Source organism: Homo sapiens, chromosome 9, assembly GCF_000001405.40.
Source record: "Homo sapiens chromosome 9, GRCh38.p14 Primary Assembly".
In the NCBI taxonomy this organism is placed as follows: domain Eukaryota; kingdom Metazoa; phylum Chordata; class Mammalia; order Primates; family Hominidae; genus Homo; species Homo sapiens.
The window spans coordinates 84932951-84948114 of record NC_000009.12 but is presented as its reverse complement, the minus strand read 5'-3'; the positions used below and the strand labels follow the sequence as shown (position 1 = coordinate 84948114).

The following is a 15164-nucleotide window of genomic DNA, read 5'->3' as shown; positions in this document are numbered from 1 at the left end:
GCTCAGATAAGATTTAAAAACTTTATGTTATGATTCAGTAGAAAGAAGAGTACAGTGAACCTTTGTGGACCCATCTCCAGCTTCAGCAACGATCAGTTTGCCTGTCTTTATGTAGCACTGCACAGAGCCTTCTCCAGCCTGTGCCCACAAACACTGCCGGCTCACAAAACATCCCTGCCCAGCAAGCCGCAAGAAGAGTGGTCATGCTGCCAAGGTGAAGATGCCCAGGAGCATGACAGCTGGGTTTTGGTGCCTTTAGTTCTCTGCTTAGATAACTCTGCCACTGTGGTGTCATAACAGGGCAAAGCTGGCATTTAGTGATGCAAATAATGTGCTGAGCTCTTGGCATGTGCCCATCACTGAGCCAGAGCTGTGATGACATCAAGAAGGCAATGACCCAGATCCTGGCCTCAGGCACTTATGGGCAAATAGGGAGATATGACATGTATATAAATAACTGCAATTCAAGCTCAAAACCCACTGTCCTGAATGAATCAGCACCTGCATCTCTCTCCAGCTCAATCCCTTGACACTCCTCTCGAAACCCATGCATCCACGTTAGGAACTGTCTGCAGCTGCCCCGATGACAACAGGCCATGCCTCCCTCCCTTTGCACATGTGCACATTCCTCTGCCTGGAATGCTATATTGGGTGTGGTCACTGGCATGGAAGGTTGAACTCCTCACCTTTGCCAAGGCTGTTCACTTCCTAATCCTGGGAGCCTGTGAATATGTTGCCTGATGTGGCAAATGCAGCTTTGCAGATGTAACTAAGTTAAGGATCTTGAGGTGGAGAGATTATCCTGGATTATCCAGGAGGGCCCAATGTCATTACAAGGGTCCTTATAAGAGCAAAGAGAGACCGGGTACAGTAGCTCATGCCTGTAATCCCAGTACTTTGGGAGGCTGAGGCGGGCAGATCACCCAAGGTCAGGAGTTCGAGATCAGCCTGGCAAACATAGTGAAACACTGTCTCTACTAAAAATACAAAAATTAGCCAGGTTTGATGGTGTGTGCCTGTAATTCCAGATACTCGGGAGGCTGAGGTAGAAGAATCACTTGAACCCAGGAGGCAGAGGTTGCAGGGAGCCAAGATCATGCCACTGCAATCCAGCCTGAGCGACAGAGCGAGACTCTGTCTCCAAATAAATAAATAAAAGCAAAGAGAGAGCCATAAGGACAGAAGATCAGAGAGGAGAAAAGATGTCACATTTCTGGCTTTGAGGATGAAGAAAGGGGCCATGAGCCAAGAAATGTGGGTGGCCTCTAGAAGCTGAAAATGACAAGAAAACATGCTAACCTAGAACCTCCAGAAGGAACCAGCCCTGTAACATCTTGTCTTTAGCTTAGCAAAACTGATTTCAGGTGTCTGACCACCAGAACTGAAATAAATCACTTGTGTTGTTTAAGCTGGTGAATTTGCAGTAACCTGTTATAGCAGCTGTAGAAAACCAATATACCTGGCTAGTATCTAGCAGTCCTCCAAGACTCAGTTCAGCTGCCACCTCTCTGAAAAGTGTTCCCTGACCACCCCTCATTGCTGTCACATCCCCTCTGCACTGCAGGCCAGAGTGGTTGACTCTGCTAGGTGCACCTCATGCTTACCTCTATCACATCACAGACCACAGTACATTCCAATTGCATGTTTACTTGCTTATCTCTGGTACAGGCTGTGAGCTTCTTGACCCAGGAACTATGCATTTCTGCATTGCCAGCCCTGGGCAGAGCACAGGGCTAGTATTCAACATCTATTTGTGTAATGAATGATGAAGGCCACGAGAACTAAACACTGACAGCAAGAGAGGTCAGAGAGGGAGTGGTTGCTTCTAATTGAGGAAAAGGCATACTTCTCCTGGCAGAAGTGGCACGTGAGTTGTGAATCCCATCTCCAGGGAGACTACAGTCAGTCATTAAGGTTAGATGGCAAATGGGAACATCTGTGTTCACTTAAATTTAGTATTGGAATGGAATGAAAGCACTGTCATCTGTCAGATATGTACTGACTGCAAAACTAAAAGATGATATCCAGTGTCCAGAACACGGCCAGGTCCCTGGTGGTCATTTTCTAGATCACGGCCTCGGTGCTTCTCTCCCTGTGGGGACATGCCTGACCTACGTGACCTGGAGACCTTGAATGTGCCACAGGTGAAGTTCCCCAGGGAGCAGATCTGAGCTGGAGATTAGCAGGTGAGGCATTTATTAGGGCACGCTCTCGGGATCAATACTATTTTCACTTTACTCTGTGGTTTTCTGAGAAGTGTCTTTATAAGCACCACCAGCTCTGTTTGGAAAAGTGAGTGAATTTGGGTCAGCAAGTGCTCAGGGGCCATAAAGCTTCGATGGGGCTGTTGCCATAGAAACCGCACATTCCTTCATTAAATAACAAAATGAACAGTGGCCGGAACCTGGGGTCTGGGTCTCTGCTCCCTTGAAGCTACAGAAACTGGGCCTGACATGGCCCCTGTGCCACCCAGATTTAATTAGTTTAGTGTTTAGCTAGATCCAAACTCAACTCCTTTGCATCCCTCTTGCACAGGGAGAAGTGATGTGCTTATCTCGCTGAACTTCACAGTAGAAAAATAGCAGATGAGGTATGGAGGGTATGGAGGAGATGGAGGAGATAGAAGAGATGGAAGTCTATCTGCTGGGTCCTTCTCCTGGGCCCATGGAGCAAACCACACACACCAGTGCCTTTCTCACACTTGCACTTGCGTAATGGTGTTGGGTACATGCCTGTCTCCACTCCTGCCTTTGACAGTCGAAGTGTGTCCTGTTCACCCTTTTATCACCTGCTGCCTGATCCAGTATCAGGCAACTAAAAGAACCCCTGATACACGAAGTTTGTGAAAGTAGAGATAAAAGAATGTGAGGAAGAATGACCAGTGAATGATCATCTGGAAAAGTTGAACATGGGCCAAAGTGAGGAGTGGAAATGAAAGACGGACCAGGAAAAGAAACCAAGTGAAAGGACTTGTTTCCAAGGCTGAGGGGAGCTGCCCAAATGCACTCTCTCCTGGAGAGTTGGCCCCAAACTTGTGTTCCCCTTCCAGTAAAATGACAAATCCTCACAATGGTGGTGCTCAAACGGAAGGGGTTCTAGCTTAGCATCAGAAGAAGCAGGTTCAAATCCTGGCTCTGCCCTCGAGCTCTCTGACCCTGGTTTTCTTCTTTGAGAGTGAGGATAACAATATCATCATCTACTCCACAGGGACACAAGGATAATGATGCAAGGTAGTGTAAGTTGGGATGTTTTCCTTGGTAGAGAGGGACATTTGATGATTTGAATTTGAAACCACAACCAGTCTTGTATTCAGTTTGCTCACGTAAGAATCCAAGAAGGTCAAAGTATGCATGAATAAGGCCCAGGGGCCAACCCAAGATATGAGAGCAGAGGTGCTGCTGGAGCTACCACTTCTTCCCAGAGGACTGTCCAACCTCCCCAAAGTGTCATACTGCACACACAGATCCAGCCCTTGGCCTGCAATGTTTTTTCACAGATCCAGTCTCTACAGAGGATGGTCTGAGTCACTGAGATAGCTTATTTCTAAGGCACATGCCTATCTTTTTCAGTGAGTTGGAAAAGGTACTGGCCCTTGAAGGTCATTATCACAAGGCATGAACAAATTCTGTGTATAATCTTTCTGCTCAAATTTTAGCTATGTAGTATTGATTCAAGAATGCTAGATTGGGCCAGGCATGGTGGCTCACACCTGTAATCCCAGCTACTCGGGAGGCTGAGGCAGGAGAATGGCGTGAACCCAGGAGGCAGAGCCTGCAGTGAGCAGACAGCACGCCACTGCACTCCAGCCTGGGCAACAGAGCGAGACTCCGTCTCAAAAAAAAAAAAAAAAGAATGCTAGACTGTGTGTGTGTGTGTGTGTGTGTGTGTGTGTGTGTGTGAGAGAGAGAGAGAGAGAGAGAGAACAAGCTTTTCTTTTTTGAAACGCCAACCTGAAAGAGTTAAGAAGCATCTAACATTTCCATGTCCCCAAAGCAAAATATGGAAAAGAGCCCATTCTCAGTGCAATGTCAAAAACTGTGCTTCAGTAACATTTTTGAAATTGAGAGAAGAGATTCCACTATTCATGGGGCAAATGCATCTCACAAACCTGGCCTCATCCAACATGCCCATCCATTTTTGCATGTTGGGTCTTTTTTTCTAAATTATGATTCAATTCTATTTTAAGAGATTCAGAAAATATGGTGGTAACAACTTGGGCAAAATCATCTTCTGAATTTGGCACTGTAAGGGCAGAATTTTTCTAAGGGTGGAACCATAGCCAGATAGCAATCAGAAGCTGGAAAATCCTGCTATCAACCCTATTTATAAAAATCATCTCTGTTTTAGTACCATGGCTGATTGTCATTTTACTCAATTATGCAAGGCTTGGCTGGTTCCCTGAGTCCCTTGGCAATGCACTGAGGCCATGAATATCGGGTGGCAGCTTCCCTCACTGACAATCCCTCTTCTTCAGGTTCATTTTGACAAGCATATTTGCCCGATCACTGAGCATTGCTATTTTCTTACTCCTACTGTCTGCTTTGTAGTTTCATTTCTTCTTATTCCTGGTGAATTTCCTGACACCCCAAAGCTGCCATCTTTTCTGAAGATACTCTTAAGGGAGAGGGCTCCTCCAGAACTGTAGCGAGATACTGCCTGGAGTACATATTGATTCAGAATTGGAAATAATGCACTAGCATGAAACAAATTTTAGCACAGAACTGAGAAACTAGTGCTGGTGAAATAGAAGAGCAAAAACAAAAGAAAAATCAAAATTCATATGAAATGCTTCAGCAAAATGTTAAGGTTAATGGAAAGCTAGTAAGAGAGGCAAGAGGGCTTATTTGAAATCATTGGTGTGATAGAATATTGTAGGATGTGACAAATGATCATCCATTTCAAAGTGTAGGTGGTTTAGGAGAGATGAGGTAAAATAGAGGTTGTGTTCTTTTTAAAAGTACTGATCTTATATTCTTCTTCTCATATATTTTAGAGATCATAGAAACAGTGTCTTTGTTAAGGTGAAAGACAAAATATAGAAGAGATTATTATGGTAAGACCTCACTATGCCCAATTCCCACCATAGTGTTTAAAACACAGAGGGAAATTTAAAAACTCCCAAACCAGTCAACCAAGATGCATGAGAATGTTTGGTTAATATGCCTGAGTTCCTCTGGGTTAGGATCACTGTGGCAAGATCTGTTGCAAATGGAGAATCTTTAGTCTCCTGATGGCTTCTGGATGTGCACTGTCCAATATGGTAGCCAACAGTCACAGGTGGCTAGTGATGATTTGAAATTTGGCAAGTCCAAATTGAGATGTATTTTAGGTAAAAAAAAAACCTAACAGATTTTGAGACCTTGCTATAAATAAAATAATATAAACTCTCTCATTAATATTTTATATTAATAATACATTGAAATGATAATATAGATATGTTGAGTTAAATAAACTATATCGATAAAATAAGTTTCATATGTTTCTTTTTACATTTTAAATATGCATACTAAGAAGTTCAAAATTACAAATGTGACTCTCAATAGTGGCTCACATTATGCTTCTGTTGGACTTCATTGTTCTATAAAAGCCACCTCCATAGGCTATTAGTGAGCCAACCTCTTTCTTGGGAATGTTGGAAAACATTTCTAAACTATAAAATTGAGATAGAATTAAGGTAGACACACTTATAAGTTTGTTACAGGCAATGATTAACCACGCATTTAGAACAAGCCTTGATCATAATGCTGCATGCTGCATGAACTTCTAACGACAGAATCTTTTCTAAAAATAGGTAGAGGAAGTGTCTATCAAATTCTTACAAAATTCAGCTTTGGAGGAGTGTATTTTAATGAATTCGTGGATAGAAAGAACTTGGGAGAAATAAAATCTTAGAAACTAGAGAGAGTGCAATAGGTAGCTTCCCAACATCCCTACAAATGTAAAAACTCATTAAATGATTGTATGAAGAGGATAATGATCACAAACACTCAGATTGTGCTTGCTATGTGCTAGAAAACAATACTCTATGTATATCAACTCAGTTAGTTGTATATAACTCCTTTGACAGGACTTTAATTATGTACCAAGTGACAACCTCATATACAAGATTTATAGCCAGGGTGTTCACTGCTATCTCTATTTTCTCAGCCATACTGGCTCTTCCAGCTCAGATCTAACAAGGCAACTATCCAAAGGGAAACAGGAGGTTAAGTTCTGATTCACATACTTTAAACTATTTGCAATAATATGGTGGATAAAATAGATGGTTTATACTTGCATATGATATCAAGTTGCATATTAGAAATGTTATGTCTTTGTACAGGAAACTAATTCGTAGCAACTGTCAATTAGAGAAATATTGAATCAAAAGAGAGTGAATCAGAAGTTGACCTCCAATGTGGACAACTGCAATATATTTACAGGCTTTAAATACACCAGCATAAAATTTTCCAATAAAATTTTGCTAGACATAAAGGAGCTGGTGGATCATGGTAGACCATTGTTTGACTGGGAATTCGTTCATCATGTTAAAGTAAATTAAAAAGCAGCACAACTATTTCAATGCATACATTCCAGAGATACAAAAGTGTGAAATGAATCCTCCAGCTATGTTTGATGCCAGATGAGTCCTCATTAGAGTGAAATGCACTGTTTTGTTTTAGCTTTTCTGAAAATATGTGGATAAATAGAAGATAAGCCAGAAATGAGGGTCACCAAAGTGATTAACAATTCAAAAAACAGATCCCTGACCCAAGGTCTAAAGTTGAAATTACTGGGAAAGGTATATTGATATAGGAACTTAATAATTGGGGCCTATCTAATTCAAATGCCTAACTCTCTATCTTACAGTGCACTCCTGCATGCATGCATGCATACACACACACACTCTTGAGTGTGCACACCAGGAAAGAATGTACATACCCAAAGAACAATAGAAATCTAGTCTATTAAGCAACATCTGGATAATAAAGACAATCACAGACACTATTAAAAGTTTTACAGTTTCTGTTCCTAGATCCTTATAATGTTGCAGTGCTTTGTGCAACATTACGTCATGTTGACACAAACTATTTTTTTAGAGTAACACTAACAATTGTCTTCTTAAGTAACTAATCTTTTCATCATCAATTTCCATTTTTTGGGAACAAGTATTTCACATGCCAATGTAAGTGGAAACATGGGAAGGAGGCACCGGAAGAGGGAGGAATGGGAGAAGGACTTCACAATTAATGAAGACGTGAAAAGTGATATGATGACTGTCATAAAAAATAAAAAGAAATAATGAAAAGAGCCATCTGTCTTAGAAATAACCTTACCTGGGTAGAGCACTTGAGTCAACTAACTCTTGATGCTTTTTCTCATCTATGTTTTTTTTTTTTAAACTGTTCCAGAATTGGAGAGAATGTGCTTTTCTTGTGAGCCCTTATACTGCTCTTGTATAGATTCTGAGACAAGTGGCTCTGGTTGCTTCTGTTCCCAGAGGTGGCCTCTTCTGTACCACGTGACCACCTCAGATGACTGGATGGAAGGTAGGTGTCCTGGCATGAAGACTAAATGGCATTGCAGATGACTAATTGGAAGAACTGGACCATAGTATTTTCCCTCTTGGGGAATCAGCAAGTGAGTCATGGAGGCAGTGTGGGCAGTAGCTGGTATGAAAGCTGCAGGCAAATATTAGGGAGTAGCAGAGGCAAGAGACAGCTGCACTAAGCAGGGGAGTCCCAAGGAGATTCCCTGATGTCTCCTGCCGAGATGATAAAGAAGGGACAGTCACCAGGGCTGCCTCAGATCTTGAGTGAGCTTTCAGATACCAGCTCTTCTCATCACAGGGAGGCCAAGCTCTCCTGCAATTCCTATTTGAGTTGGTCATCTTTCACTTTCTTCTGTCAGATTTCTTTCTCCCTTCTTTTAGTTATAGCATCTCTAATATTCTTCCAGGGAAACAATACTTCCCCACGTTCAGTCCATTTGGGTTGGGTAGAGTGGACCCCAACTTTCATTTCCAAGGGTCAGTATGTGACCCAGGCCTGGATAATCAGAATATTCCATTCCTCTGGCCAGAGGGTCTGGTGACACAGCCCAAGATAAGCCAATAGGAGTCATCCCTTGGATTTTTGCATAGCTGTTTGGAAGGAGGAGCTCTCTTTCTTTTGAGTTGCTGGGAGGGCAAGATCTAAGCCCTGAGTCATTGCTGTCAAGTCTTTAGCAAAATGTGGAAATAACCTGCCTGAGAATTAAGCCAATACAGAGGGAAGCAGAGCCAAGGGATGGAGAAGACGAGAAAGAGAATCGTTCATTCCCTGGATCTAGTGGTGCCTGAAAGCTGGGATACCCATAGGTAGGTTTTCTAGTAGCATGGATTTCTAGAAGCCAATAAATTCTTTTTTTCTGCTTAAGCCAGCTTGAGTTGGGTTTCCAGTGAACATGATATTGTTCTTTTTATAAAAGCTGATTATAATATTTTGCTTGTATTCCCCTGAGGCCTAAACACTCCCTCAGGAATCCAGTATATCTTATTTCCACTTATTCCCTTGAATTAAATTTCTACTTGGGAAAATATGAACATGTCTCCCATCCTTCCATATAAACGACATAACTAACACACTCCTTTATATTATTTGATAAGTGTCATTGTGTTGGATTTCCTCAATCTGGTTCACCAGGGCACATGTAAAATTCAATAAATGAAAATATGGTACCCAATGAGCACTGGACTGTGTTTAAGTCCTAGGTCTGACATTGACATTAAATGATCTCTTTTAGGCTAGGTGACCTTAGATAGGTCATTTGTCTTCTTTGGATTCCTGTTTCTTCATTGGCAAAATGGTGGAGTTAAGCTAAAGAATATCAATATTAGCTCTATATATCTATATAGTGATTCAATCATTTCTAAAATAATTTCTTGTTAGATTACGTTATTCTATATATATATCATCTTTACAGTTTCTTTCAGCTATAAAAGTCTATGACTATCAATAGATCATCAAATTATTTCCCTACCTAGAAATGCCAACTGTCAACTCTTTTTTTTTCTTTTCTTTTCTTTTTTTTTTTTTTTTTTTTGAGTTGGGGTCTCACTCTGTCACCCAGAGTGGAGTGCAGTGGTGCAATCTCGGCTCACTACAACCTCTGCCTCCCAGGCTCAAGCAATCCTTCCACTTCAGCCTACCAAGTAGCTGGGACCACAGGTGCATGCCACCACACTCAGCTAACTTTTTGTATTTTTTGTAGACATGGGGTTTCATCATGTTGCCCAGGCTGGTCTTGAACTCCTGAGCTCAAGCAATTCATCTGCCTTGGCCTCCCAAAATGCAGGGATTACAGGCATGAGCCACCACACCTGGTGCAACTCTCTATTTATCAAAAGGCTATTATTTTCATGATCTTTTTGTTCTTCCATGCACCCACCCATCCATCCCTTCATTCATTCAACAAGCATTTACTGCATACTACTACATATGAGGCAGTGTGCTAAAAGGCACTATTGCCATCCTGGGGAATATGCCACTCTACTAGAGGAGACAGACATTCAATGCCATTCATTAAATAAGCCCAGAAATATATATATATAATTTTAAAATATTGACAAATGCTATAAAGGACAAGTACAGATGTTTTAATAGCATATGTCATGGAGATGTGACCTAGATGGAGGAGCAAACAAGGCACATCCTTCCCAAGAGGGACAACTTGAACTGAGAGCTGATGCGTGGATGGGAGTTACCTGGGCCAAGAGGCTGGGTAGGGGCCATCCCGACATGGAAATGGAAGAAACATGTTGGATGCCACTTGGGGCCTGCCTCATTATGTGCTAGAGGGTTTATCAGAAAACTTTTCCAAACTCTTGGTGGAGAAAAACATCATCATTTTCTCTGTTGACAAGAAAGAATTTGGAAACATGAAAAGCAAAAATCCTAAGTCAGATTCCAACGAAAGTGCTTGCTGAAGTCAAATTTTACCATTTTTTATCTTGCCAAGTCTTCTTCCTGTACAACACCTCTGATTCACTTTAACTTACACCTTGGGGAAGTCACTCAACTTCCTTGAGTCTCAGTTTTCTCATCCATAAAACATGAGGCTTGGGTTATATATATGATTTCTAAGGTCTCTCTCCTATTCAGCATTTTATGTTTCTAGAAATACACCTGAGTTAGTGGGGAGGGGAGGAGAGACCATGAATCCCACGATGCACACTTGTGGATATATTTAAAAAGCAAAAATCAATGTGGATTCATAGTACAAGGAAATGTTATAGGAATTGCAGCTTTGGAAATACAGGTTGGATGGAGCCAAAAATAGCTAATGCATCCACAGTTAATGCAGGGAAACTGCGATGAAGCGTTTCCTTGGCAATTGACTTACTTAAAGGTAAAGTAACTCAGTTTGATCAAAGACTGGTTTCTCTGCTTCTCCTCCTCTCTATGGGTTCTTTGATTATAACTCAGTGCAAAGGGAAAAAAAAATGGTTGATAGATCAATTTCACTAAAAAAACAAAGGTCATCCAAAGATATCAGGAAAGGGACAATCTGGTTGGATCCAAACAAGCAAATACTCTGATGGGAGAGGCATGCTCAGCTCTGTGTGCCCTCAAGTGTTGTGCACATGCCTTAGGATCACTTCCACCCTAAATCTCTTCCTATGGATCCCTCAAGCTCTTAAATCATCAACACCAGAATTTACAGGAATCTGACATCTGTCAATCTGAACGTAAAGCCTTAGATTTCACACCAGAGTCAGCTCCTTCTAGAGAAGGAAAAAGGACAATAGCTGCTATTTCTTAGCATGCATAATCAATGCAGCAGGGGTTGCTAAGCAACAGCAGAAAGGCTGTCAAACATCCCTGGGTGTCTCCAATGGAAGAGGAGCAAGCCCGGCAGTCACTCCATAGAGGTGAGAAGCTGTGCAATCCCTGGCAGCTGCATTCAGTTGGTTTCATTCCTTTAAAAAATCCCTTCATTGTGGTCAGGGCTGAACTATAGACATTTTCTTCCCAGGCTCCTTTGGATAGTCTTTGAATACACTTTCAATAGGCCTAAAGCCCTAAAAATGAGCAGGTCAGGCTGGCGAGTGACAGCTCTGTGAAAGGTCCATGGGTTATTCTGATCCAATTCAGCCTGGAGCCTGTGGAAGGTCCAGCTAGTCCCTTACGTGGCTGCAGCCTCTGAATCCCAGAGAGTTGAAATAAACATCCTCTCTGAAGCTTGAAATTACTCTAGCAAACATAAGCAAAACCTCTCATTTAAAAAAAAAAAATTCACATGTAAGGTCACTGACATGAGACTTCTTAAGTTTGTGACCATGAAGTTAGAATGAATTTTTAGTCTGCAGGCACTTTGTCCTCCTTATTTGAGATGACAGATGATAGTTTCATTTGAATTTCAACAAGAATGAAACTAGCAAAGAGAAGAGTTGGGATTTAACAAAGAATTAAATCTTGTTTTTCCTTTTTTTTAAGCAGTGTTGATTAAAGAAGCACTCATCATAGGTCATTACTTTGCAAATACTTACTTGGCAAAGCCAGGATGTATGTGAAGACTAGGCCCTAGGTCTGGTTCAGAGGTGGAACTAGGAATGTGATTGGGATATAAACTAGAGAGGGGCCTCACTGACAGTGATAATGGGACATATGCCCAAACAGAAGCATGCCGTGGGCAGGAAACTGGAATGGCATAAGATGTCTTTTAATGCCAACCCAGCTACTAGGCTAAACATCACTGTCACCAGCTGACTCTTCACTGTTAGTTGTCCAAGCCCTGAAGTCCTATTTGAGCATATGTTTGGAAGGAAATATAACACATAAGCTGAGGGTGCCCTGGATTCAGCTACGCAACACACTCTCCTTAAAGGTATTGCAAGAAGTACAGAGAAGTAGGCACAGGGCAAGAAGTGGTACTAAGATGAAAGGCCATACCCACTGAGAAATCTGTTGGCTCTATCTCTATATCTGCCTGAGGTTTCTTAGCTATTTCTACACTCTCATCTAGGATTCCCTAGTCTCCCAGGATTTCTTTACATTCAAAGAGTCCATCTTGTGACACCTGCAGAGTCTGAAGGTCTGACTTAGCTTCCTGGGTGGCAGTACAAAATATGCACCCAGAACACAAATCCAGAGTCTTAAGATTCCTTGTCTATAATACATGGCTAGCCTAGGATTAGATGTTCCCAAAGATTCTTCCAGCTCTAACATGTGATCAAACTATGAATTTACAAAAATAGAGCTACCTTTTGGTCTCATTTAACCAAAAGGGGGAAAAAAAAGATACAGTAAGAAGAAAACAGAGACTGCAGATTTAACACTGCCAAATGTTCTGAACATTTTGTGCTAAACAATGACAAACAAAACTTTTTGAGTAAGTAAAAGAGGAAGTAATAGCAAAAGCAAGAATTAAACATCTCCATAATGACTACAAGATTCTCACTTTGCCACCTTCTACCCCATTCACCCTCACATCTCTCTAGGATCTCCTTCCTCTCCTCTCTCCTCTCTCTCTCTCCCCCTCCATTTGTCCATCTTGGGGAGATGATGTTTATTTGAAAAATGTTTACATTTATCATTCCTAGGAAGGCCTGTTCTTTATTCACCCCAAAGTGCAGAGTTTAGGAGTCTTCTCTGAGAGTTTAGGAGTATCATGCCACCTTGGTTAGTTTCTTTTGGTGACAAAGCAAATGTACAGATTTTCTATTTGGATAAACTTTAATAAAAACCATTTAGTCTGCTGGATGACTCCAAGAATAATTTTATTTCTCAGTTGTGCCCATTATGTATGTACTGAAACATTTTAATGTTAAGTATAACAGTAATGGAATAGACTCCTGATTTTCTAAAATGAAAAGTTGTCCTGGTTATGACTAGTAAATAAATGCCATTTGTAAAAATGTTTCCTGTTTGGCAGAAATAAAACAGCAAAAAACTCAATAATCTTATATTATGTCAAGAACTTACATTTTATTACATTAGCCATGTCCATATTCATTTGGAGCTTAATTCATTTTATAAATATATGCCCCTTTTAAGTGTTTTAAATATATATTACCCATTATTTTGGTGAGTTAAAAATTTTTTGAAAAATATATGTAAAATACCTGAAGCCTTTTGTGCTATTTTTGTTAATTCTTGTGTTTTAGAGAGCTCAGTGGAAATTGTATCCCCTTCAATCATAATGATTATCTAATTGAAGACCAGGACTCCTTTTTGAGTTTATGAGGACGTGACTATGATGGAGGACTTTCAGTCTTCATTTTAGTAAAACCACTATGTCTCCTTGGGTGGTGAATTCCACAGGAGATGCCATCCAGCCCTGGATGAAATCATGCCTGTGCTATATAAAACCCTGGAGATTTGTACGCATCTGGGAGGGTCAGGGTAGAGAATTGAGTGGCACAGAGGCTGAGAGGGGAAGTGAAGTCCACAATCCTTCCTTCCAGAACCATAAACCTGACACAAGCTTCAGCTGAGCTTGGAACAAGCACCTAACAATTTGAGGAGACACATGTGAGTCTTCAGGAAGGACTCAGCTGGTCGAATTCTGTTTGGCCCCACTGACTTCCATCCAAAATTCAGTTAGCATGGACTTGGAAGAGTAGCTCAGAGCTCTTCACAGCCTGCAGACTTGTCAGTGGCCACTGAGAAGAACCTCTGACAGTTGGATGTGCCCCAAATGTCCTTTCCACTGTCCATTTAGTTTAAAGGAATTTGAATACATCCATCATAGCAGGAACAATTTACTCCTGCATTGGCCACCAAAATATAATAAAATAGAGTTAAATTTCCACACGTAAGTGTGATCATGGTTAATGAGACATTCTGGAATGTTCTCTTACCTTCACTGCCACCAAGATCTTGTCCTGCTCAGGACAGAGGTTATAGCATTCAGCTAGGAACACTTTTCCAAAGGCTCCTTCGCCTAGCTCCCTTTTCAGAACAATGTTATGTCGCTTGATGTGCTGAACAACTGCAAAACAAAGACAGAATGGAAATTGGAATTGAAGCATGTGGAGGTGAAGGCAGCGGGTGAAGAGTTGGTGGCCTGTACCTGAGCTTCCAGGCCCAAGAGTCTCTCCTCTGTGCACAGTGAACCGAAGAAGCTGGGTGTCCATCTTCACAGTCCACCCCAAATGGCTGGGCGGAGGTTTCATCACCTTTTTCTCCAGAACTCAGTTATTGTTTCTGATAAAACTAAAGTAGATACCTAGTTGCTGACTGCAAAATATCCTTGATAAACTTTATAGAGTAAAAAAGGGGAGAAATGAGAAATTCACATTAATGGCAGGCTTCTTATAAGCCAGATGCTTTGCATATATTTGTTAGCAGTGTGTCCAGCAGGGCAAAGCAGAGAGATAGCTAGCAATCCTGAATTATTGGTTAAGCCATCTCAGATTCCTAAGGGAGACAGAGTCAGAGGATACAAAAGGAAAATGCAAGATCTTTGCATTGTTAATTAAGGTTTTGGCCTCACCTCAGTTTTAGCCTTCTAGTGGGGTGGGCTAAAACATGGTTGGGCCTCACTGACTTCCTTTGTTTGGATCAGAAACATCTAGACGTCTGCATTAAGGACTAGCTTCCTTAGCCGTGTTTTAAAATCATGGCTCAGTCTTGGCTCTCCAAGGCCAAGAAGAGACAAAAGCAGATGAATCCCAGGACAAGAGAATGTTCCTCCCTACAGTCTGGAGCAGCGACGGCTCAAGTCATTCATCCATACACCCTCTTGGTGCACAAGGCAGGAGGCAGTTAAGGGTCCTCAGAAGCTCATTGGCTGCAAGGTGGAAACCAGAGAGGGAGCACACCAAAGGACAGAGGTCATGGAGGACAGGCCCACAAGGAGACCCTGCAGAGGACAGAAGTACATGTGAGCTGTGCCTCCTCACTCAGCACGTTAAATGTTGAGTCCCTTAGCACGGGAGTTCCGCTGGGTCTTGGCTGGTATTATTTTCTGAACTCCTTGTTGCTGAATGGTAGTGCATTAAAAAGAGATTGTGATGCCCTCTAGAGCTTGGAATGTGTGGCCAACTATATTCTCTCATTTCAGTCTCACAATCCCATGACATAATCCTCTCTGCATTTTACAAGTAGGAAAACAGTCTGCAGGAATTTCCAAGATTTACAGTCTGGGAATGGAATTGGGATTTGAACCCGAGTCTGTCTGATTCCAGAGTTCATGTGTTT

The 15164-nt window shown here is 41.6% G+C and overlaps 1 protein-coding gene across 16 annotated transcripts in view; it reads right to left on the bottom strand.

Moving 5' to 3' along the window:
* NTRK2 (neurotrophic receptor tyrosine kinase 2) overlaps positions 1-15164 on the bottom strand; it is a 358533-nt gene that overhangs the window by 78940 nt on the left and 264429 nt on the right. For all 16 annotated transcript variants that reach the window (XM_017014751.3, XM_017014753.3, XM_047423432.1 and 13 more), the window contains one exon: positions 13823-13953. In XM_017014751.3, the coding sequence (XP_016870240.1) occupies positions 13823-13953 (131 nt within the window). The remainder of the gene's footprint in view (positions 1-13822; positions 13954-15164) is intronic.